This window comes from Homo sapiens, chromosome 2 (assembly GCF_000001405.40).
Source record: "Homo sapiens chromosome 2, GRCh38.p14 Primary Assembly".
NCBI classification, from domain to species: domain Eukaryota; kingdom Metazoa; phylum Chordata; class Mammalia; order Primates; family Hominidae; genus Homo; species Homo sapiens.
Window position 1 is genome coordinate 217,591,822 of NC_000002.12, and position 24,083 is coordinate 217,615,904.

The window sequence follows — 24,083 nt, forward strand, 5'->3', positions numbered from 1 at the left end:
GCTTGCAGCTCTTTTTGCTTTAATAACCACTTGGCGGTTTTCTTTTATTTCCCTTTTCTCTCCTTTCTGATGACCCCAGCAGTGTAAGACTGCCACTTCTTTAGGTTTTTGTACCACCAATAATAATCTCCTAATGGCTTCCTGATGTTTGATAGGTGTTCCCTCGGATGTTAGGAATTCCCTTTCTCTCCATATTGTTGCATGGGCATGGAAGACTAGGTAAGCATACTTAGAGTCTGTATATATATTTACCCTTTTTCCTTTTCCTAATTTTAGTGCCTGAGTGACGGCTATTAGTTTTGCCAGCTAAGCGCTAGTTCTTGGAGTGAGGGGATTACTTTCAAGTATTCCATTATCACTGACCACTGCATACCCCGCTTTTCAAAGTCCTTTTTCTACAAAGGAACTTCCATCAGTATACAAGCTGAGGTCAGGATCAGTCAAGGGAAGCTCTAGAAGGTCCCCTCAAGTGGCATACGTTTGAGCAATTACTTGTTGACAGTTATGTTCTATCTTTTCTTCATTGTCTGGAAGAAATGTGTCTGGGTTAAGAGTTGCACAAGTGCGCAGTCGCAGCACTGGCCCTTCAAGTAATAGAGACTGATATTTTTAAGTAAACGGTCGTCTGACAGCCACAAGTCTCCTTTAGCAGTGAGTATGCCGTTCTCATCATGAGATGTTCACACAGTAAGATCTCTTCCCTGTATCATTTTAATTGCTTCAGATACTAAGACTGCTACTGCTGCCACTACCCATAAACAATGAGGCCAACCCTTTGCCACTACATCAATTTTTTACTCTGGTATGCCATAGGTTGCAAGCTCGTCCCTCAGACCTTTGTAAGGACTCCTAGAACTATTACTGGGTTTTTTTGTGACATATAAAGAAAAGTCTTGCCCCATTGGCAAGCTTAACACTGGGGCTGGGGTTAGGGCCTTCTTTAGGGCACACGCCTATAATCCCAGCTACTCAGGAGGCTGAGGCAGGAGAACTGCTTGAGCCCAGGAGGTGGAGGTTGCAGTGAGCCAAGATGGTGCCACTTCACTCCAGCCTGTCCGACACAGCAAGACTCTGTCTCAAAAAAGAAAAAAAAAAAAAGACTTTTGAGGGGTATTTGACAAAATACTGATTCTCTGCCAGCCAATAGATTCTGAATCAGAATGACCTGATGCAAGTGAAACATGGCATACCTTTAAACACCCTGAACTAAAGAAAAGGTATCCATGGGTTACCTTGTTTTGTGCAACACTTAGCTTAACAAGCACTCAGCATAGATGGGCAGATGGTACTTAATGGTGGACATCTTTTTTTTTTTGTCTGAATTAAGAAACAGGTTATCCATGATAATAACAACAATAACTATGACTTACTGGGGGCTTACTCTGAGCCCAGCAACAGTGCTAAGTATGCATATACACTATCTATTTAGTCTGCAAAACTCTTCTCCATAGGTGCTACTCTCCAAATTTTAAAGAGGATGAAATTGAGACATAAAGGTTAAGGCAGGTCATAGCTGTATGGGGCTAGAACTGGATTTCAACACAGGCTTGTGTGACCCCAAAGACAGTGCTCATTCCATACCACCATACTTCCTTACCTCTGAATACTCACACTGGGGAAAAGGAAGCATAATGATTATGTATAAGCTCTGCATGGTATTATACTACTTCCCTTAAAATTAGAAAGAAATATGGTTGGTCATAAAGAGAAACCACTGACAGTGAGCCCAAGGGAAGTTGTGGACTCTTCCATTTGATGTCTTTAAAGCATAAAGAATTCAGTTGTTTAGCTTCATGTTTCCTAAAGGTAGAGAAGTGGAAATGACAACCCCCTCCCTCCATGTCTTTCTCAGGCCAAAAATTCCATTTAACATTGCCCCCAACTAAATACCTGTCTCCCTTCTGAAGGACTTGCTGCAGTCAGCTTTGCCGGCCTATAGGTGCAAACATCTGGAAGGCAGGTGTTTGATTTTGTGGGTGCCAGAGGACACACAGCTGAGCGGCACAGCTGAGGGGCAGGGAGGAAATGTCTTACATTGATGTAGCACCTTCTGACTCTCCCCAGGCCCCCTTCAACAGGGAAGTGGTGGGGGGAGGTGACCGGAGAGCCACCAGCTGTGGAGCAGCTGCACAGGGGAGCACTTAAGAGGAGGACAGGAAGTGAAACACAGAAGGGCAGGCAGTCCCGGGGAGAGGTCTGAGGGAAGTGGAGGGAAATGGGGCTAAATCTTCCTGCCTGACTGCTGCTCTGGGGAGGTCCTGGTTAAACTCAGAGGCCAAGGACTCAGCTTCTATTTCTCCTAGGGGATAAGAAGGGAGGAAGGGGAAAGAGCAGTTTTCTTTAATTAAAAACAAAGAGTCTTCCAGACATTTGTGTGCTCCTCCATTCCCTGCTCTGACCTGAAATGGACTGTGCCCACTCATTCACATGTGCAAGAAAGAAGTGGCCTAAGTTTTCACTTTCTTAAACCCATTTGTATCTCATTCCCAGTCCCTAGCCCACCAAAGGAAGAAGGGTGGGGAGTCAATTTCCACTGTTACAAGAGGCTTCTGCCAAGAATTGTGCCAACATTACAGATACTCCCCTGATCCTGGATAATGAGTCCACCCAGTACCTGCTAGGATGTCCCTTGTGCTGCCTGATATAGTCCTTTCAGGTCTAGTGGTCACTGTGCCCTGAGTCCTATCTCCTGAGACCTTCACACCACCATTTCCTCTAAGACTAGCCTCCTCTGCAGGACCTCACCAGGATAGCCCCCAACCTATCCCTGGGAATGTCTTCACTCTGCCTCACTCTAAGGCGCTTTCCTCCTCCTTTTCCCCTCCTGTTCTAGGACACCTAGAAAATCTGATAGGTTTAGGCTTTTACAAAAGACAGAGAAAGTCTCTGATTTCAAAGTAGCTTCTGTAGTCCATCCTGTAAAGCAAGGAATTAATGTAATTGAAAATTTATGTAGTTCTTCTATGTCCTAAGCACGTTCTAAACACTTTACATTGTTAGCTCGTTTAATTCTCACAAAACTTTTTTAGGTAGGTGCTATTGTTATTCCACTTTACAGACAAGGAAAGTGAGGCACAAAGAGGCTAAGTAACTTAACCAAGGTTGCATAGCTGGGCAATGGCAGAACAAGGATTTGAGCCCAGGCAGTCTGTCTCTAGAGTTATCCATGATAAAAGTTCTATATCTTGTCACCTACAGACTACCTCCTTAAACCTGGAGGAGAAAAAAATACAATTTAAAACACCATAAATTAACATTTCAAAATGTATGTTCCTATACCAGGAGATAAGTGAATTAATTTCCTAGGCATTTCTAGATGGTCTCTCTACCACCATGGTACTATATCCACTTACCTCTTCCCAGAAGCCACTAACTGGGTGTGGGGGGAAGGACAAGAAAAAACAAAGAGGAAAAAGCAAATGGAAAACTCAGTTCTGGTTCAAAAAGATTAACTTTGAACCAAAGTTTTAAACCAGAAGTGGCTAAGTCACTTTAAAGCACAGAGATCATGGTTTAAACTGTCAGCTAAAATTGATGGTTGAGTTCAATTTTGAAAAAAAAGAAAGTTTCATTTCTAAACATTTGAGCTGAGTAACATTTTTACCTGGTAGATAAGTTCTTTATCAGATAGTAGGGTACAGGTGTGTCTTTTAAAAATATTTTTAAAACATTTCTCCAGTTGAGGGTGGGGTGGGATAAGAGTATGGGTCCACAAAAATTTCAAGTAAAACCATCAGAGAGCAAAAGAATTTTCCATCACAAAAAGCAAATCTTATTTATATATCACCATCTCTGATCTTATGTTCCCTACTCAAATTTCTTCATCCTTTAAATGCAACATGCCGCAACTTAAATCCTTTATTTTTATCCTAAACCATCCCCAATTCTATAACTTAACATTAGCATTACTACCTTTTAGTCTTCCAAGCCTGAAACCCAAGAGTCAGCCTTTTCTCTCCATCAGCCGCCAGTATCAAATCGGTCTCTAAGAACTACTGATCCATCTTCCCAGTGTTTCTCAATTTTATGTCTTCTCCATCCTCAGCCCCACTACAATGAGCTCAGGCCCTCGTTATCCTTACCTAGGTTTTTTAGTTTTTGTTTTTGTTTGGCCACACCTTAAAGCTGGTCTGGATTCCATTTTTTTCCCCTCTAATCTTAACTCTTCCCCACTGCTGCCAGTCTTGTGACAATGCCCCCCCTGCCATGGTTTCCCAATACCTGCAGAACAAGCTCATATGCCCTATTCAGCTCTCAAGGTTGTCATGATTTGACCTCAAGCCTACAGTCACAATCTCACTGATCACCCCCTCAACATCACAGTTTCTGTGTTATAACAGCTGCAGTTCATGTAAAATACCCCATTCTTTTCCCTGTTCTATTTTTTTACCCCTGTAGTTTCCTCTCCCTGGAATTTGCTTCTCCTTCTCTCCCTCTCTGCCCAAAGCACTCTTACATATCTTGCAAGAATTAGCTGCAATGTCACCACTATAATGACACCTCCCCCACTCACCTGAGCAAATTTGGCTATCTGTGTTGGCTTCCCAAAGCATCTTACACAGCTTGAGTATTCCTTATCCAAAATGCTTGGGACCAGAAGATTTTCAAGTCTGAGATTTTTTCAATTTTTGGGATATTTGCATTATGCTTGCTGATTAAGCATCCCAAATCCAAAAATCCAAAACTTGAAGTGCTTCAATGAGACTTTCCTTTGAGCTTCATGTTGGTGCTCAAAAAGGTTTGAATTTTGGAACATTTCAGATTTTGGATTTTTGGGTTTCAGATGCTCAACCTGTATAGGAGCCCAAAAGCTGCATTTAAACATAAACAAATACATGTAATTGAGTTGCATGTTTTCTGACTCCAGACCCTCAGTTCCTCAAGATCAAGAACCAAGTCTTTCATTCTGCATATTCTTAATGAGTACCCAGTATATAAGAGGCAACTGAGAGTTTCTTGAATTAGTACTTGATGTAACAGTACAAAAACACTAACAAACACATCCTTGTTTTTATCACATAAGAAGCTGGCATAGAGTATGTTCAGGAGGGCAGAATGCCTGCCTTTGAATCCTGGGTCCACTGACAACTTTCTTATCTTCAGCAGTTTATGTAACTTCTCTGTGTGCCTCACTTTCCTCATCTGCAGAATGGGATACTAGTAGTAGGGACTTCTAGGGGTTGTAGTGAGCACTAAGTGTGTTTTAGGCATGTAAGACACTTCAAAGAATGTCCAGCCAATAGCACATGCTCAATAAGCAATGGTTACTATTATCAGCTTTACAAATATTACATACAAGATTTTATTACGAAGAGTCTAAAACCAAGCAATACCAAGCACTGCTTTCTAACTCATGTTATATTGCATTTATTAGTGTCTTAAAACAAATGTAGGCAGTATTTCTTCACCAAACATTTCTTACTGGGTTCTCTCCACAAGCCTGCCTATCAGATTCCGAGAGCAGACACCATGCTGATACCCCGCCTGTTTTCTCATTTTTCCTTTCCACTCAGTGGGTTTCCCAGAGCAGCATTCCTTTAAAAATCGCCAGACCTAAGAACCTCCTGAGGAGCTAATTAAACTGCAGAGCACCAAGGCACATTCAGATTATAATTCTGTAGGTCTGGAGTGAAGTCCTAGAATCCGCATATTTATACCTCTCAACCTGATTCTGTTGTAAGTGATTCACACTCTTCCCTTTGGGAAATACTGCCCTGTTAACTTCCATCCAAGACCCAATAGGGGAAGTAGCAGTCTTTCAGAATCTTCCAGAACAAATCAAGGAGGTGGTGGCAATCTCAACAGCCAGAAAACATATACAGCAGCATCTCTTTATCTGCCATGTTGCCAAACCCGCTGTCACTACCCAACAAATAATAATCACCATGATAATAGCAGCTGGAATATGTGGACTGAAGTTAAACTAAGGAAAAGGGAGTGGAGCCACAGCTGGCACGTGCAGTGGTTGAATGACATGGCGGGGGTTCGAAGGAGTCCTGGCTCTCATTGAGGAGTGCCCCCGAGAGGCCCGCTGCCTGACCAACCACAGTCAAAGAGCAAGCATCCCTCTCAAAAGTGACACAGATGCAAGAAGTCCTCTACAGAGCCATTCCCATGTGGTATTCTTGACTCCTTGGGTGGCTTGCCAAGCCCAGATAGAACTGATATTTCTGGGGACTACTTCAAACCACATTTCTTGGCTCAGGCATCAAAGACCACTACCCCCAGCCTAGGCGTCACCCACTTCTCTTCAACAGCCCTCAGGTTTCATTACTCCAGTCAATCACCCAATATTTAGGTTTCTAATACATGCAAGTCACTTTGCTAGAAACAAGATCACAAAATGAGGTATAGCCCCAGCCTTCTAGGACTTTACAATGCCTTTGTGGAGATGAGAGTAAAGGCATGATCAGTGAAATCTGGTAAGAGATAACTCCCTTCTTGCTCTCCCAGATCCCATCTCAACCTTTACTCTACTCTGCGCCCCTAGAGGGTGATGTCTCAGGGATGCACAAACAAACCAAACTCCCTTCTCTCTAGCTTCTTTGGGTTCTATAATATTATTGGGAGGCAACAGTAGGAAATTGGTGGGCAGGAAGAGCAAGAGGTCTGGAGATTTATTCTCCAGTTCCTGTCCTTCCTGTCCAAGCATTTTACAACCTGAGGACATAGCTGCTCTCCAGAGGCCCTTCTCTGATAGCTACCGTCTCTCTGAATCAGGCAATTGGCCTCTCTTCTGGTATCTTCAGGACCAGGCATAGTAGCTGCTTCTTACCCGTAGCCCTAGGTGTGCTCCAACATCCTTCTTTGGTTTCCGTTAACTGCCCACACCAACGTAAACAGACTCTTCATTAAACTCCCCTTACACCCTTTGGGAGTATGCCATCTGGAGCAGGCACTGCTGGTTCTCTGTGAGCAGACCCTAGGCATGCATCATCCCTGCTGGTCTTCTTGCAGCAAGCACCTGTGGCTCTGCCTATGTGCTCTCTCCAGCCCCAGGGGCATGCTTGAACTGCACGAGGGTCCCCCAAGAGCAGTCCTCAAAGAATGATAAGTAGCAGTTGATGGACAAATGAATAGCTCATCTTCCTAGGCCTTCAGGACAACTTGGAAGTGTGTTCCACATCATCTCCCAGAGGTGCCCAGCAGGGTTGAGCCCTGGTTGCCCACAGTGGGAACTTTCTCATTGACATACCCCATTTCAGTTGCCTTCTCTTCCTGCCTCACTTCCCCAGTCCCCTCTTAGTGCTCCCTGAGATAACCTCCTAAATAAACTACTTGCACCCAAATCTGTTCTCAGGACCTGCTTCTGGAGGGGCCAACCTAAGACACTATGTTTCCTGCGGGAAGCCTGACTGATGCAGGATCTAATATTTTTTAAACAACTACTACATAATAGGACAGTGCTGGGCACTTTATATACATTTTCTTATTTTTACTCGTAAAAATCATGCCAGAAAGTTACCGTTGGTAACTACAGGTGATAAAACAGAGGCTCAAAGAAGTTAAATCAGTCGTCCAAAGTGACTCAGTTAGTAAGCAGATGGCAGAGGTGGAAAATGAAGCCAGCATTAGTTAGCCTTAAGAGGTTTCTTACACCCTTATCTTTTCATAGTTTAAACGTGCAGTTAAAAGAAAGGTTGAATGCAAAGCTACAAGAGCTCTGGGAACCAGGATGGTCAGAAAAGCCGATAGGAAGAGATGTAAAATCCCGACAGTCCCTGCCAAGCCTCTGATCCTGACTTAGCATCATCACATGACCTTGCTCAGGGCATGGCGCTCCTCCTCACCAGGTCCATGGCACAGCTCAGCACCCAGACTCCTTCCATCACCATCATCTGCTGTCTTCGTAAGCCTCCCTGGAAATGGCCTTGCAGGGAACGGAAGGGACGTGTCGGCTGGGGGACAGGCAGGTGGAAGAATGAAGAGAACGTTCCCCTTTACTCTGCTCCTCTTGCCTCTCCCTGCCTGTGCTCATGCTGACATTGCTGCTTCATTAGCCCCCAGGACTCCATGCTGTCTGCTCATGTGGAAGCTTCTAGAAACAGTGCTGCTGACAGGGACTCTGGTAGGCTTTGCTCTCCAGTGAATCTGTGTGGGTGTCCATGAAGCAGAGCTGTGTGAGAACAGGAAGGGAGAGACTCCTCCTTCTCTGCCCATTCAACTGCTGAACAAATCCATGCAAAAAGCAACAGTGGGGAAACACAGCCTCCACTGAGCCAGACCAGGAAGGAATGTGGCCTCAGAGAGCCTGCGCTTCTGAAGGCTGAGAGACTCTGGAGATCATCTTGTGCATCCCCCAGCCTCCACACTGCAGCTTCCCTTTTCTCTAAGGACACCCCCGCAGCCTCATGCAGATGCCTTCTCAGGTCTCGGTGAGTCACTCCACATATCTAACCTAGCTTTTCCCCATAGAACTCAGGAAAGATAAAGGCTGAAGGAGTCTGTGAAACTTCATGATGAAGGGAGTCTCTAAACCTCTTGCCAAGAGGCAATGATACAAGAGCTCTGGGTCCAAAAGGTCCCTTCGGGAAGATCCCCAACCTCCACCAGGGAAGATCTGAGCCTTTCCTTAGGTGATGCTAGGATTTCTAATTCCAGTGGTCACCTTCCATGGGGCAAGAATCTTCCATTGTTCATCTCATGCCTACCACATAGCCTCACATACTCCCTGGTGCACAATACATGTTCAACAAATCATTGTGTAATTCCATTCAGTTGAAGTCCTCTGGCCACCTGAGTTGTCCATCTGTGTAGTGAAGGGTCAGAAAAAACTTGCAATGCAGAGGCAACCCTCAGGGAAGAAAGTATCCTTGGTCTTTGGGGTGGAGACAGAAGAAACCCACCTTTCTTCCCCCTATTTCTTTGCACTATGCTCCACAGCAGAAGATAACATTACAAACTTCCCAAGTAGAACAAAATGTCCAAAGTCTTTGGTTCTTGGGCTGTAGATCCCTACTGTCCTGGTGGAGAAGAGGGAGCTGATGCAGTCTGACCAGAAAATCATGCTGTGAAGACAGGATGCGGAGAACATTGGTAATTCTTCTAGCAGGAATCAATTTTATTCCACAAGTTGAGTATAAAATAGTGCCACATTCCTTATTGTTTCCTTCAGTCTCTATCATGTTTTGCGGGGGGGTGCTGCCTAGACGGTACTCAGACATAGGCAAAGGACATGGTCTCTGAGGGTACTCATCATCCTTAAAGTTGCTTCACCCAAAGGCAAGCTCCTTTGGGTGCTCCATCCCTCAGTGCCTATGGAGGTATGGGAGTCTTTGAGGTTCCCAAGGCTCCTCTTCAGTGTTCCAACCCTGGTACCCCATGCTGCCCATCAGAGGACCTCACCTCTTCATCTCTGCTGAGAAACAAGGCACAGTTCTCCAGCTGATTCCCAGGTAAGGCACTGCTAGAAGACTGGATATGGAGGAGAGAAGCCAAGCCTTGCTCCCTCTCTCTCTGCTTCTGAAGATAGCATCTCCAGCAGCTGCCACTTCTCCTCTGTGCCCCCAGCTCCCATTGCACAGGTCAGCCCTGGTTTCAGCTGCCCTCAGGCTCTCCTCCCTTTGTCCTTCAAGCTTAGGGCAACCAGACTCCCCACTCTTGCTAATCTCAGGGCTGCCTTTTCATCTGCTGTTTGGCTTCTCAGCAATTCCATCACCTACTAACCAATTCCCCTTGTCACATTCTCTTTGTTATAAATATTTCATGTGACTCTGTTTCCTTGGTTGGACCCTGGTGGATACAATTCCTTTCCTCCCTTTCCGAAAAGTTACTCCTCAACTCCAAACTCCTGTGCTTCCCCACTCTCTGAGCCCCCTTTGCTTTCACCAACCAGCTCCTTTGGAAAACAAAATCCCCATTCTCCACCTGATTCCCAGCCCTGTTTGCTCTTTTAGGCAAAATGGAACAGACTCAGGTCTAACACGTGGTGATTCCCTGTGGTCAGCAAAGGAGTCATTATGGCATGAGGTGGGAGAGTGGCCGCTGGCACCTGAGAAAGGCCCCACACACTTCTTATTTGTCTCAGCCCCTAAAGGCTGAGCAGGTTGAGGAGGGAGCCTTTTAAAAGTCTTAAAACAAAAACAACTCTGATTTATTCTGATTCTTCTGCAATGGCAAGAACAATACAAATTAATATGTCAACAAATGATCCTGCCAAGCTTAGGACCCTGGAAAAACACACAGAGCCTCTGAGGGTCCTGCTCTTGCCAGTGGAGTCTCAAGTTATGGCTATTTGGTTTGTGCAGGTGAGCAGAAAAAGGAAACACCCCTGCAGAGGAACGTCCCTGCCTAAAGCATTTTGGGGGTCCCCTCCCTCCTCAACCTGCTCAGCCTTTGGGGGCTGAAACAAGTAAGGAATGTGTGGAGCCTTGCTCAGGTCCCACTCTCCTACCTTGGGAGATCATGGCCCCTCTGCTGGCCACTGGGAGTTACCATGTATTAGACCTGGAGCTGGAGAGGATATGAGAAACCACCTGTCTCACTCTGTCATATTAGGATGAGGAGAATGAAATCCAAGAGAGGGGGATGACACCCAGGTTGATCAGGGGATGAGCGACAGACCAAGAACTAGAACTCAAGTATCCAAATTCCACTGCCCCCTCCAATTTGCCAATGTCCCTTTTAAAGAGCTCTTGGTCAAAAAGGTCAAAAAAGAGCCCTTGGTCATTGCTTGGGAATTGAATCCTGCTCTGCCCTCAACTGGCTGTGGGGCCTAGGGGGCTTTCCATGACACTCTGCTTCATTCATTCCTTCAATAAACATTATCAAGCTCTCACTATATTCCAGACACTGTTTCAGGCAGAGAGTGTGCAGATGAATGAAAATCCTCATCATTACAGAGACTTCACTCCAGGGGAAGGGAACAAATAAATAAATAAAAGTTATTAGAAAAAAAATGCTGAGTATATCTGTTGGTGATATATGACACTGGAAAAAAGAAATAAAGGGAGGTAAAGTGAGTTCCAGGGTGGAGAGGTTGCAAATTTTAAATAGCATGGTCAGGGAAACCTCAGTGTCTGTCTCTATCTGCAAATGGGAATAATAACAGCATAAACCTTACAGAATCACTATGAGGATCAGGCAGGTTAAGCCACATAAAAGGCCAAGCACAGTGAACATCACAAAGTTAATACTAAATAAATGTTAGCTATTACTGCCATCATCATCATTGCTAGCTCATATTTACTAATCAAATTATTTTGACATTTATTCTTTGAATTTCGGTTCTGTCATTTCCCAGCATGGGAAGTAACTCAATCTAATCTCCCTGAATCACATTCTCATCTCTCTCATGGTGTTAATAGTCTCTACCTCATGGAGTTGTTGTAAAGACCTTGTGAGTTAATCCTTGTAAAGCACTTGAAATGGTCTCTGCTACATAATAAGTGCTCAATAAATATCAGTAAAGACACTACTAGAATGAATGCTCCAGAAGGACAGGAATCTTTGTTTTGTTCATCATCAAACCTCCACTAGGTAGGACAGTCCCTGAGACATAGTGGACACTTGATTAATATTTGTCAAACGAATAAATTGATTGTTTACTATGTGGCAGTCACTATGTGACAGTCCAGGTCCCAATGAGAAACAAAAGGAATGACCAAATTGGAATCATTTGAGTTGAGCTTAATAAAAAGACCATTGAAAAAGATGTGAGCAAAGTGTAGGGAAATTGCAAGGGGCGGTGTGATATTCCAAGGCTGTTGACAATGAGGCTCCATTATGACCCCGGGGGTTGAAGGAGTAAGGTAAGCTAGCGGTTATTAGACCCCAGAGAGAACATGGGAGAGGATCCTCTACCAGGAGCTTTGACCTTGAGTCTAGGAACACAGTTGATTCCTGGCAACCCCTCGGAGAGGTCATTGGGAGAATAAATACCCAGATCACTCTCCTACTACCTTCTGATCTCCTGCTGGGCTCCCATTAGCTAGGCCAATGGGAAACCAGAGGACATGAGAACTCACTGATGTGGTCCATAGAGGTGAGACTCCAGGACGAAAAACAGAGTGAAGAAGGGTGGAGAATGGACCTGCAGAGCTAAACACGAGCTATCCAGCACAACTTCTATGTACTATCTCACTCAGTCTTCACAATTACTTATGAAGTAAAAATTTTCATCATTTATATTTTCAGCGAAGAAACGAGGGCTCAGAGAGGTTAAGTAACATGCTTAGGGATGCACAGCCACTAAGTGAGTAGGGCAAGGTTCAAGCCCAGGAAGCCTTACTCCAAAGCCTATATCTTTAGTCATGACCCATCTCAACTGTGTCCTTTTTCTGGACACAGTTTCCCAACCTCTGTTTCTCTGCCTAAGTGATGAGGAACTCTTTCCTCCTGGTGTCCCATTCAGTCTGGGCCACCCTGACAAGGAACAGATTCTCCTACAGGCTGGCACAAGGATTAACACATTTGGTCTCTTCTCCACTTGACCCCACTACTTGGGTATATTGCCCCTCTTTAAATGAGTCTTGCCGAACTGAACATACTGACTCCGGAATCGTGTCCCTTCCTTGTTATAGACCTGGAAGGTTAGATACAAAGACATGAAGCAAGACTTCTTGAAAGTCACATGCACAGGCCACAAACAGATCTCATCTGCTCCATGGGGTCCCCCCAGTGGCCCCACCTCAACTCCTCTACCCCTCTAGCAGCTTCCACACCTCATCTGCCTCCTCTTTATGGATGCATTGGGAGGAGAGGGGGGCAGGAGAGATGTTTTGCGGGCCCCCATGAGGGGCAGCCATGCTGGGAAAATTCTATTTACAGCCGTCTCATTTGCACCAGTGGAGATCTGGACAGCCCGCTGGACTCTCCAGGATGTGAAGCTCTGGGACATGCCAGATTGTTATCATTGTCAGATACAATTTCCTCCCACTGCCGCCGCCCCGTGCCAGGCCGTGGTGTCCATCTGTTTATGGAAACAGCAAGGTCCTGGCCAGGTATTTTTAGACAGGGCCTTTGCTGTGCAGGATCAACTTCCCACCAGAACTGTCAGCACCATCCAGCTTCTCCTCTTCATCTGTTTGTTGTAAATTCTCTAATAATATATAAAACCACAAAGCAGGGGCCAAAGTTTCCTTGGAATGTGGTGGGTGCTGTCCTTCCTCCCCGGCTCATCCCACAAGGGTGGACTTTCCTGTTTTGATTGCTTCAGGTTTTTTTTTGTTGTTGTTCTTTTCCTTCTCCTGTCATTATTTTGAAAGAGAATTATGTGCAGCTCCTCCCACCTCCATTGAATAATAAGTGTTATTTGAAGACTTCCTGGGGAATGGAAAATCGCACTGCCTGCCTGTGACAGCTGAGTCTGGGGAGGAGAGGAAATCAAATGAGGGTCAAGTGGAATAAACAATATTTCAATGTTAACACCATTGGGTCAATAACAGGTTATTAGTGACCATCAGATCTGATCGTCATTTTGCAGAGAAGGAAATTGAAGCATAGCAAAGGGAAGGGAGATCATGGCTCAGAAAGCATTGCCAGAGCACAAAACACCAACAAGAAAGAAAGAATGGATGAAACTAAGGGATTATGAATCCCTGCTCTCTGCCATTTGGGGCACAGGATGAGGCGGTAGGTATATCAAGGGCTCGATATGAACCTGAGATGGAAGTTCCTGGAGAAGACGGGATGAGTTCAGGACAAAAGGAGCCATAAGTGGCAGACTGGCAGCCTCTGCTGCAGGGCGTGAGTGTAGCTGGGCAAGAGAAAGAAGGGAACGATGGGTAAATGGGGCAGCCTCTTTGGGGAGAAGAGCCCTTGGGAAGGAGACGTGATGGGCAGAAGGAAAGGAGGGTGATTCTTAAAGATAACTACCTATCACGGTGCCTTATCACTCAACTATGTCTTGACTGAGACATTTAATGATGGTGTAAATGGCCCTTCAGCAGATCTTGAACTGTGTTTTGGGCCAAATGGCCTTGGGAAATTGATTTTAAATTTTTTTCATGAAAAACACACCATATTTAGTGCCTGATTACAAACTATTTGTGTGAAGTTTAAATGATCTAGATTATGAAACACGACTTCAATCAAATCCATGCTTTGTGAATACTCAAGAAGAAAGCAATGGACATGAAGCTGGTGTCAGGAGAAGGATTCCAGGATCAGCTTGTCCACTAACTCACAGCAGGACATTGGAGAAGTGATCTTGGCTCTCAAGGCATCAATTTTCTAACACAGAAAGTACAAGACCTGCATTAAAATTGTTTCAAGCTCCACTCCTATTAGAAATTGTCTTTGCCTTAGCCAAGACCCACTAGCAGGTTGTGGTTGGCATCTGTATCTTCCAACCAGCATTGAATGTTTTGCATCGTTTTCATACACACATTGAAATGAAGATCTAACTGGAGTATAGATCATGCACAGGCTCTGGACTCAGAGAGCCTGGATTCTAGACCTGCTGCCACCATGCACCAGCTCCATGGCCTTTGAGCAAGTCACTGAACCTCACTGTGCCTCAGTTTCCTTATTACAAAATGGAAATAAAACAGTACCTACTTCATGAAATAGTTGTGAGAATGAAATGAGTTAATACATCTAGATTCCTCAGAGCCTGGCATACAGTAAGCAATATACATTAATTAGTAAAATATTTGCCTACTGCCATCTAAAGCCACATCCTATACCACCAAGCTACAGGAAACAATAAACTCAAAGAGAAACTCTAATCCATTAACAGGAAGCTGAGGAGGGAGGGTAACATTAGGAAGTGTTGAGTATGGAGGCAGTGGGTGGGACTAGCTGTCACTCTTGATGTACTGGTGGGCATTACCCCTGCTGCATATTGAGGACTTGGGAAATGAGGATGTAAGCTCCCAGAGGGCTTCAGTGCCAGGGCCCACGAGCATCCCTATGCATCTTCAAAGCAAGTTAGCAGGTCTGCTGGGCCAGGCTGGACAGCCAAGAGCTGAGCATGAGAGCAGCACATGTCTATAGGTTCAAAAAGAAGTGCGGAGTGAGGGCTGACGTGGGAATCAGGAAACCTGGGCTTGATGTCTGACTCTGGGGCTATTGACTGTATGACCGCAAACCATTCCCTCTACCCTCCAGCCCATATTCCAACCAGGGGAATGAGATGAACAGATCTCTGAGGTTTCCACCACCTAACATAGTACATCTCTGGGACAGGGTTGAGATCTGCGTAAGCTCACCCAACTTTCTCAAAGATTACAGAGGTGTTTATAAGCAATAGAGGAAGCTTGACCACATAAGGACATGCATGATGCTCCCCATACACATCTCCCACTCAGATCTCCAAAATCCACTCTGCTTTGATCCAGGTCCTTGTTCTGACTGGAGTTATGGAGGGTCATCTGGACATTTCCCAGGGGCCGGTAGAGCCACTGCTCCTTGGGCCTTTTTCCTGAGGACAAGAGGAAGAACAGCGACTATTTCCCCTAGGAATGCCACCACATGCACCAACCTGCTGGTCACCCACCTAGCTGCATGTTCTCACAGAGCAGTGCTCCTTAAATGCAGATTCTTGGGCATACTTTGAACCTACTAAATCAGAATTTTCAATGGCAGGACTTGGGAATCTACATTTAACAACCTCCCTTAGGTAATATTAACATAGAGTTTTATGAAGCTCCAAAGAATACCAAAGCATATGGCCAGCCACTCACCCAGAAGCTGCAGACAGCTGGATGAGTGTGGCTTGACCATTCATTACCCAGCTTGAAAGCCTCCCTGCAGCAGGGCCCCTTATACATGCTACAGGTCAAGCAGAAATGAATTGAATCCACCTGTTCCTGTCAGGGGCACATAGCACAGGGACAAGGGATGAGGGGTTTGGGGAGACAGACTCTCAGACAAGTAATTACCTGGGTTTGAGTCCCTACTCTACCACTTAACCAACTGTGGGGGCCTCACATCAGTTTCCTATTTTTATAAAAATAGAAATAAACACTCAGATACTCAACAAAATAAAATAAGTTATTTCACTCAGCACAGAGCCTGGCACACAGTAGACACTTGGTTAGCAGTGAAACTCCATCTGCCAGGATACCACAGAGATAAGAATGATCTCTTATCAGCAGCTATTGTTAACTCTGGTTTTCAGGGAGAATAACACATTCATCTAGTTGTCTGAGAAAGATTTTGTTTTATATCCCATTGTTGAGGTGAAAATAAGATTCTATCCTCTTGGGACTTTGGGGGCTGTTTGTTTCAGCCATTCAGAGAGTTCTAAGTCCCTGGGAGCAGCATGCCCTGGAAACAGAATACCTCGCTTTTCCAAGGGTGGAGTGGTCATCCCGACTGCTCCTCCCCAGAGGAGAGGTCTGACATGGCATGGGATAGAGGCCAGCAGCTCCTCTCTCAGGGACATGTCAATCCAAGATGCCAGGACAAATAGCCTTGTTGTTTGTTCTTGTTCTCCGGCAGCTAAGTCTATGCCGTTACAAAGTGCTTTCCCATGCATGAATCCACACCACCCACTCGACTGTCCTGCAAGGCTGCAGTGTGACGATGTCAACAACAATGATGGCAATGGCATCTTTGCGACTCTCTCCCTTGCCTCCTCCAAATCTTTGCTCAAATATCATCTTCTCAGTGAGGCTACCCTGCCCACCCTATTAAAATTTTGATCTGTCCACATCACAGCAATCCCTGTCCTCCTTACCCTGCTCCATTCTTTAGGCTTTTTTCTCATGTGTGCCAACCATGAGAACGCACTGTACAGACCTTCAACTCCAGGTCACATAGTTGACCAAGGGCCTCAGCTGCTATGCTGTGAAACCCATCACTGTATCGGAGCTGCTACCCCACCTCCCCAGGGCAGTTGCTGGCCAAAGACTAAGGCCATCATAGAGACATGGGACTCCTGGTGTCCAGCTTTTGCTTGAGGACTGACTCCCCCTCATGGCTTCAGCAAGCCAGGGCTCCTCCACCCAACCTTCTCTCTCTCTCCTCACTCAAGGTCACATTTGCATGGTGGACTGGGGGCTCCCTGGAGCCTTTTCTGGCAGCCTCCCTTTCTACCTCCCACAGGCATGTCCTTTAAAGAACTCTTTGAATGTTCTTTCCTGACATATGTAATCCTATGGTCAACCCAAACTAACACTCTATAGCATCTATCTTCTAACATACAAAATCCTTTACTTAGTGCATTTACTTTTATTTCCACCTCACCCACAGAAAGGCAAGATTTTTTTTTAACTATTTTGTTCACTGATACAGCCTAGGCACCTAAAAAATGACACTTAATGAATATTTACTAAGTAAACAATGCCTATTTTCCAGACGGGAAAATGAGGCCCAGAGAGGTTAAGTGACTCTCCCAAGTGGCTCAGCCAATAAGTATCAAAGCAGAGTTTAGGTAACTAACATCTCTTCCACTATGCGCACCTATCTCTCTTCCAGTCTCCATCTGCCTGTGTCTCTCTACTTATGTGTTTTTCTCTTGTCCCTCTCTTCCTCAGGGTGTTGTTTGCTTTTTGTGTGCTCAGTCTGTGTGTGTGTGTGTGTGTGTGTGTGTGTGTGTGTATGTGTGCACACACATGTGCGTCCCTCGATGGCTGAAGTGGACCACTCTGTCAATAGTGCTTAGGGAGGTGGGATTCAGGAAGGGAAGGGACGTGGGTGGAAACTAAAGGCAGCCATGAAGGTGGAGGACTAGACAAGAATCCAAGGGGAAGGAGGAAGGCTGCATGGGGCAGCGAGAAAAGACACAAGAGGGCAAGTGCCCCTAGTGGGAGTTAAATGACCAGGACCCCACCCTGCTTCCCACTAGCTTTGTGACATGGGCTCAGTCCCTTAACCTCTGTGAGTATCTGTTCTTTACTGGATTGTTCCTCCCCACTGTATAAATCCCATCTCAACATTCTTCACAGATAAAACCCCAAGTGAGCTGTGGCTGGCAAAGAGCTTTGTAGGTGGAAACGAAGGTGACCGTCCTTAAGGAAGAATGAGCGAAGACAGGCAGCATGAGAACTACGGCCAGGTCCAGGGTCTCGCCCACTCTGCTCTGGAGCCACATGCTGCTGCTTATCTAAGTGGTGAGGAAGGGGGGCTAGAGGACAAAGAAATACTCGCCTTCAGCCAGTGGGATTCAGGCAGCAACAGGGAGTTTCTGGACAGTGAGTGTGGGAGAGGTGATGGAGCAGGTGCAGGGGAAGGTGGGCACTGCCTTCCTGGAGTGTGGGCTGGATCTCCCTGTATCCGAGATGATTTACACAAGGTCCTGCATGCACACCTGGGCAGGGGATGCATAGGCTCAGGAGGACAGCAGGTGGTGAATGTAGCCCTGGAGAGGGCAGACTGTGGGCTGCAGGAAGAGGCTGCAGGTGCTGCCTGCAGGAAGAGGCTGGGCCTCAACATGTGGCATTGTTAGAGCCCTGGCTGTACAGACACTGTGCCAGGACCATGAGGGGGAGGAGATGCATTGGCCCTGCCTCTGCCCAGAGCCCTCCCAGCCCTGAGACTCTTCAACTCTTGGACACTAAGGAGGGACAAGAGGGAGAATGTGGCAACCTGGTGTCCTGGTCGCTCCTTTATAATCAATCATACAAGGTGACAACACGCACAGTGCAGGTGATGGCTTCACCTGCCTGCTCCATCCCACCCAGCTCGACATCTGCCAAAGGTCACAGCACACATTCTAAAAGGCTGACAACTGCCTGGTGGCAGAAACCTCCTGACGCTGCAGAAAATGCCTCTCTCTGGGCCTGTGGGAAGTCTCACTCATTTACAACGTCACTCAGGGGGCCCCACCTGCTCTGAGACCAGGCAGCCAGTCATCAGGGACAAGGATTGAAGACTGCCAGTGACTTGCTGAGTGACATGGATGACAGACAAGTGACCAAGCTGTCTGCATGACGCCCTGAGCCACTGAGGAGGTGACCCTCCTGCTCACCAGGTGTGCAAACATACCCAGTGCCTGGCACAGAGCGGCCCTCACAGCCTGTGCGTGGGTGGTGTCTTACAAAACGGAAACCTTTAAGCCCTGTTGTTAGGAGCTTTTGCTTGCTGGGAGGACTGAGGTGAGGAGGAAATGAGATCGCACTGTGAAAATACTTTGAGAAAACGGAAAAGTACGGTGGAAAATTTGGTTTGGTTGTTTTTAGCCTTACATGAGTCTGGTGCCATGGGGCTCTAAGGAAAGCTGTCTTACCAGTTTGGGATGACAGGGAGGTTGGAGCAGGTGACCTGAGCCTACCCTTAACACCATGTGTATGTGGAGCAAGTCACTTCATCTTTCCAAGCATTTTGTTTCTCTGAATCTCAATTTCCTCACCTGCACAATGGGAGAAGGGCCAGAGAATTAGGGGTGTCCTTTGCAGTCAGATGTTTTAGGATCCTGTTCACACAGCCCAGGGAACAGCAGGGACATCTTGCCAGCCTCTCATGATAGAAGGAGCATGAAGTCACAGGGCACACAGGTGCTCAGGCTCTGCCACCAGCTCCCTGTGGGACTCTCCAGGCCTCATTTTTGTCCTCTGAGAAGGTCCACAGGCTCATAGCCCTCCAAATTCACCGCCAGCCCCAACCAGTGCAGCATTCAACCACACCAGCCCACCCTAGAGTCACAGATAGACACAGGCCCCAGGGGGAAGGCCCAGGTGGAGCTGCAGGGAGCTCACTTCACACGTGCTCTCTTAGCTAGTGGCCTCGGGGAGCTGTGCGAGGTAGAGATAACTTTGCCCATTCCTAGCTCCACTGTGGATTGGGGTGCATATCCAGACATGAGACAGGTCTGTCTGCCCTTCCCTGCTCACTCTCACTCTTGCCCTGCCCAGCGTTCAATCCAATGGGTCTCATACCAGGAAACAGATGAAAAACTCCCTTCTCCAACTTTACCATTCAAAAGCAGGCTCTGTGTAGGGGCTTGGGGAGAAGGTTAAAGCCCCTTTCCTCCAATATGTGTCTTTTCTGAGGGTAAAAGTACAATCAGTAGCTTTGTGGACTTGGGGGCAGTGATGGAGGAAGTAGCACAAAAAGCTAGGTGGATGTCACCATCTGGAGATTCATCCAGGCGGTGGTTGATGGAGACCTGGGCAGAAGTCTTGGCAGGTGCACACACTCTGCAAGGCACTGCAGGGACTGGCCTAGGGCCTGCACTTCCTGGGCCTCAGATGCAGCATCTGAGCCAGGCCAGGACCACGGACAAAGGACAGCTTCTGAGCCCAGCGGATCTTGGGCCTGGGGGATATTCACTCTGCTGAGTCATGGACTCTTACGCAGGAGCGAGCCTGTCTGCTGGTGCTTCAGCCTCTGCTTGATCACCTCCACCAACAAGGTGCTCACTACCTCACTAAGCAGCATGTTTCACAGTGGAACAACTCTGGATTATAAACATTCCTCCATGGACGGATCAAAATTGCCTCCCCTGAGCCTGAAGTGCCTCTGGAGTTTTCTAGAAGATAATGTCTGTGTGACCCCTACCTCTCTCCCACCTTCTTTAGCCATGACGTGCTTGTGACCTGGGATACCTCTTCTCTGTAATTCAGTTTAGCTGCCCTCCAGGAGAAAAGTAGAAAGAGAAACAACAAAGAAGACCAATGTGTCCTGTGGCTCTAGCATTTCCAACTCTGCAATGATCAAGAAACACGAGGAGAAACACATATTAAACCTAAAAATGGGCACAGCTCCCAGCCCCATGCTGTTTTTTGCTGTCCCCGCCTTTAAATTGTTTTACACTCTCACTTCACTTGGAGAAAGTTGACAGGGAGGTGGAATAAGTAAGGAATAAGTAACTGAGGCTTTAAAAGTTCTGGGTTCTGGTCCCCTCAGTCTGCAAACTATTTAACAAAAGAACTAAATAACAAAATGCCCCTCATACAGTTAAGGTTTCCCCGACACTGGAATCCATGCTTGGTGATTCTCCATGGCTTTAGGCTCAGGATCATGGTGTCTGATGGATTCTCTTTCCTTCTACCTGGGAGGTGGTAAGAGTCACTAAGTTGCCCCCTGGAAATTAAGAGCAGGGCTCATCTCCACTATCCCATCTAGATGAAACTTTGGATCAGAAGTGGTCTCAGATGTTTTTGAGAAGGTCTCCATGAATCCCACGGAACAAAGCTGAATTTTGGCAACATCCCACTGTCCCTGCCCTGCAAAACAAGTAGCAAAGGGGACAGGCAGCCATGCTACCAGGAGGGCTCGGAAGGAGGACAGCCTGTATAGGTATATTGGAGACCTGCTGCGGTGCATTGTCAGCCTGTGTGAGTCGACATATGCCATGGTAAAGCAGACAGCAGGGGCTGGCAAATCTAGAGCCCTATAATGACCCGGAGGCCAGCTGACCACAGCGCCACACTCTCTCATTAAGATGCCACTAGGACATGGTGCACCTGATGGCGGCTTTATTTGCAGATCCTGGCTCCTGCTGGGCACTCTTCCACCTTTCTGAGCTGTAGATGCAAAAATGACTCAGACTGCAGTGGATATTTCCATCTACACAGCCCAAACTAAATTCAACAACACAGTTACCGCTTCCCCAGCTCCATTCCTGAGGCCTTCCTGCCACGCTGCCGTGTACACTGAGGGAGCCTCACCATTTCTGAGGCCCCATCTTAAAAGGGAAAACAGCAGGCTGGTCCCACATGATCATGTGGCTGCCCTCCGGGGCTCACACCCCAAGTTCTGAAAGGCTTTCCTGGTAGGAGCTATCCTCCCACTGGCCTGTCACATTAGGATAAAGTCACCTCCTCCCTTTGTTGATGAGCTTTGGGGAACCACTTGGCCTCACATGCTCAGTCTTTTGGTTGGATGTGCCTAACTCCATTGCTCTTATCTCCTGATTTGAGCCTGGCCAATCAAAGTCACAGTGATGGGCACTGACTCAAGACAAGCCAACGAGACCCAGGACAAGAGTTTTGGGGTAAAATTGCTGCAAAACAAAACAAAACAAACACTGGGGAATGCTCCACTGGGGATGCTAGGCTACCCTTACTTATAACTTCCTATATGCATTCCTTTATGTCTAGAGGCTTTAAAATTTAAATTAGCCAGGCGTGGTGGCAGGCGCCTATAATCCCAGCTACTCGGAAGGCTGAAGCAGGAGAATGGCGTGAACCCAGGAGGCGGAGCTTGCAGTGAACCGAGATCTCGCCACTGCACTGCAGCCTGGACAACAGAGTGAGACTCCGTCTCAAAAAAGAAAAATAAAATAAAATAAAATTTCCTATGAATATTCCAGAACACATAGCACTCTAAATTTCAATTAGTTAAGTAGGAATTAGTGAGCCACAAGCTGAGAACTTGACAGTGATGTGGTATGGGGCTGATAACAAGGATACCAAGAAAAGAAGGGAGATGAAAGAAGAACACAGGCAAATTTCTTTGGTTTTTCATCCATTTCATTCTACCCCCCGAAAAAAAGCACATTTTTTCCAGCAGAGCTCTAGTGTTTGTTATAGTCTGTTATTTCTAATTCTTGGAAAGGCGGTCACCCACATAGGGAATCCCTGACAACACTCCATTAGGCAGAGTGTCCAAGCAACCAGAAGGCCCCAGGGATGTTCAGTTGAGAAGCATAATGATGATGAATCCTGTCCATATTGTTTATGATTTAACAACTGGTTTATTACGTAGGATGTTCTGGGTCACTCCTGGGAAACTATTTAAACAAATAATCTGTAGTTAAATGATCTAATAGAACAAGTGTTTTCAGGTTTTTGGAAGACGCCCATTATCTAAAACTATTCATGTATTCTTAGAATTGGAAGGTACTTTTAACATCTTCTAATAAGATTCCTTTACTATATTAGTGCGTAAACTGGGGCCTAGAGAAATTAGGGAATTTGCCCAAGGTCTAAATTTGCATTCTTTACTCATAGCCTTACCCTCAAAGGGCTGACATCATTTCTACCACATTGACATCTTCCTGGTGTAATGGAAAGACCTGTTCCTAGTGCAGGTTCTGACAGTCAGCAGTGCATGACCTTGAGTAAGACGCTGAACCTTTCGAAACCCAGTCCACCAGAAAGCCCCTAGGAGCCTGCTAGTTATGTAGTTCCCTTTGGAGGAAAATCACTTTATGAAGTCATTTCCTGCAAAAGTTACAACAGTGTATGCCTCAGGTGGTGAGAAAAAACAACCCTGCCACCCTGTCACAACTTTTTGGGCCAGGAAGAAGGGAGCAGCCATATCAGCTGGCTGAGGGTAGGAAAGACCAAAAACCTCAGAGATGGGACAGCATGACATCTTCCCAGCAAGCACACAGGTCCTGACAGCTCTCCTTGGGATGCTTAAATGCTAGGTGTGGTGGACTCTCTTGGGTATTTGTTGAGCAACTCTCACACCTTTCTCCTTCCTAGGAGACCTCAATTTTATTCAGTGTCTACTCTCCCCCTCTTACCCTGTGTGCCTTCAGATGTAGGTTCTGGTAATCTCATCTTCCTGACCAGTGTTTACTTCAAGGACTCAGGTTTAGGCCAATCAACACAGGGCATTCCCCTGGCAATGTTAGTTGTCCAGAAGTGAGGGCATGACCTAAGTTGGTCAATTTAGGTAGAAAGGAAGGATTTTTATTCCATGCTTTCCCTATCTGCCTATATGTGAAATAAGAAAGCACGCTACCCCAGCTGCTGCTGGCAGCCCTCTTGAAACCATGAAGGAAGACAGCCTGAGCCAAGACCAAACCTTCCAGGGGAAAAGAGAAGAGCAAATCACACACACAAAAAGCAATCTAGAAATTTGGCAGAGAGTCTGTCCTACCTCTAGACTTTCTCTATGTGAGATTTAAATGTCTCCATCATTTAAATAAGCTTGAGCCTCTTTTTGGTTTTTTGAAGTTGGAAACATCCTAACCCATAGACTAGGTAAATTAAAATTCATATATAAGAAGGCAAGTTCCTGGAAATCATGGTGAATCCTAAATGAGGTGAAGTGTTTGCTCAGTGTTGTACCCCCCAGTTCTGGAAGCACAGGCTCCCCTGTGCTGCTCTGCTGTAGTGACCACATTCCACGCTATTCCACGTTCCTTTGTACATCTGAAATAAACCCCAGGAAATGATATTTGAATTTGACCTAGTGTGTCTCTTCTTATAACTGTTAAGGAGCTTGGCCAACACATTCTCTAATCTTCACAGTTTCCATCTGTAAAATAGGATTGATGACACTTGCCCAGCTGACCTTCA

The 24,083-nt window shown here is 46.2% G+C and overlaps 1 long non-coding RNA gene across 12 annotated transcripts in view, besides 1 other annotated feature; it reads right to left on the reverse strand.

Annotated features, from left to right (window-relative positions):
* Positions 1-24,083, reverse strand: part of DIRC3 (disrupted in renal carcinoma 3) — a 506,425-nt gene that overhangs the window by 307,803 nt on the left and 174,539 nt on the right. For 2 of the 12 annotated variants that reach the window (NR_026597.2, NR_186292.1), the window contains one exon: positions 7,791-9,008. The exons of the other annotated variants lie outside the window; for them this stretch is intronic. This is a non-coding gene — a long non-coding RNA (disrupted in renal carcinoma 3). The remainder of the gene's footprint in view (positions 1-7,790; positions 9,009-24,083) is intronic. 12 annotated transcript variants of the gene reach the window in all.
* Positions 17,815-18,522: an enhancer, noted in NCBI's record as "H3K4me1 hESC enhancer chr2:218474359-218475066 (GRCh37/hg19 assembly coordinates)". NCBI's record gives its function as "activates a minimal SCP1, AML or CMV promoter by ChIP-STARR-seq in naive H9 embryonic stem cells {active_cell/tissue: H9 hESC(naive)}" and the evidence as "EXISTENCE:reporter gene assay evidence [ECO:0000049][PMID:30033119]".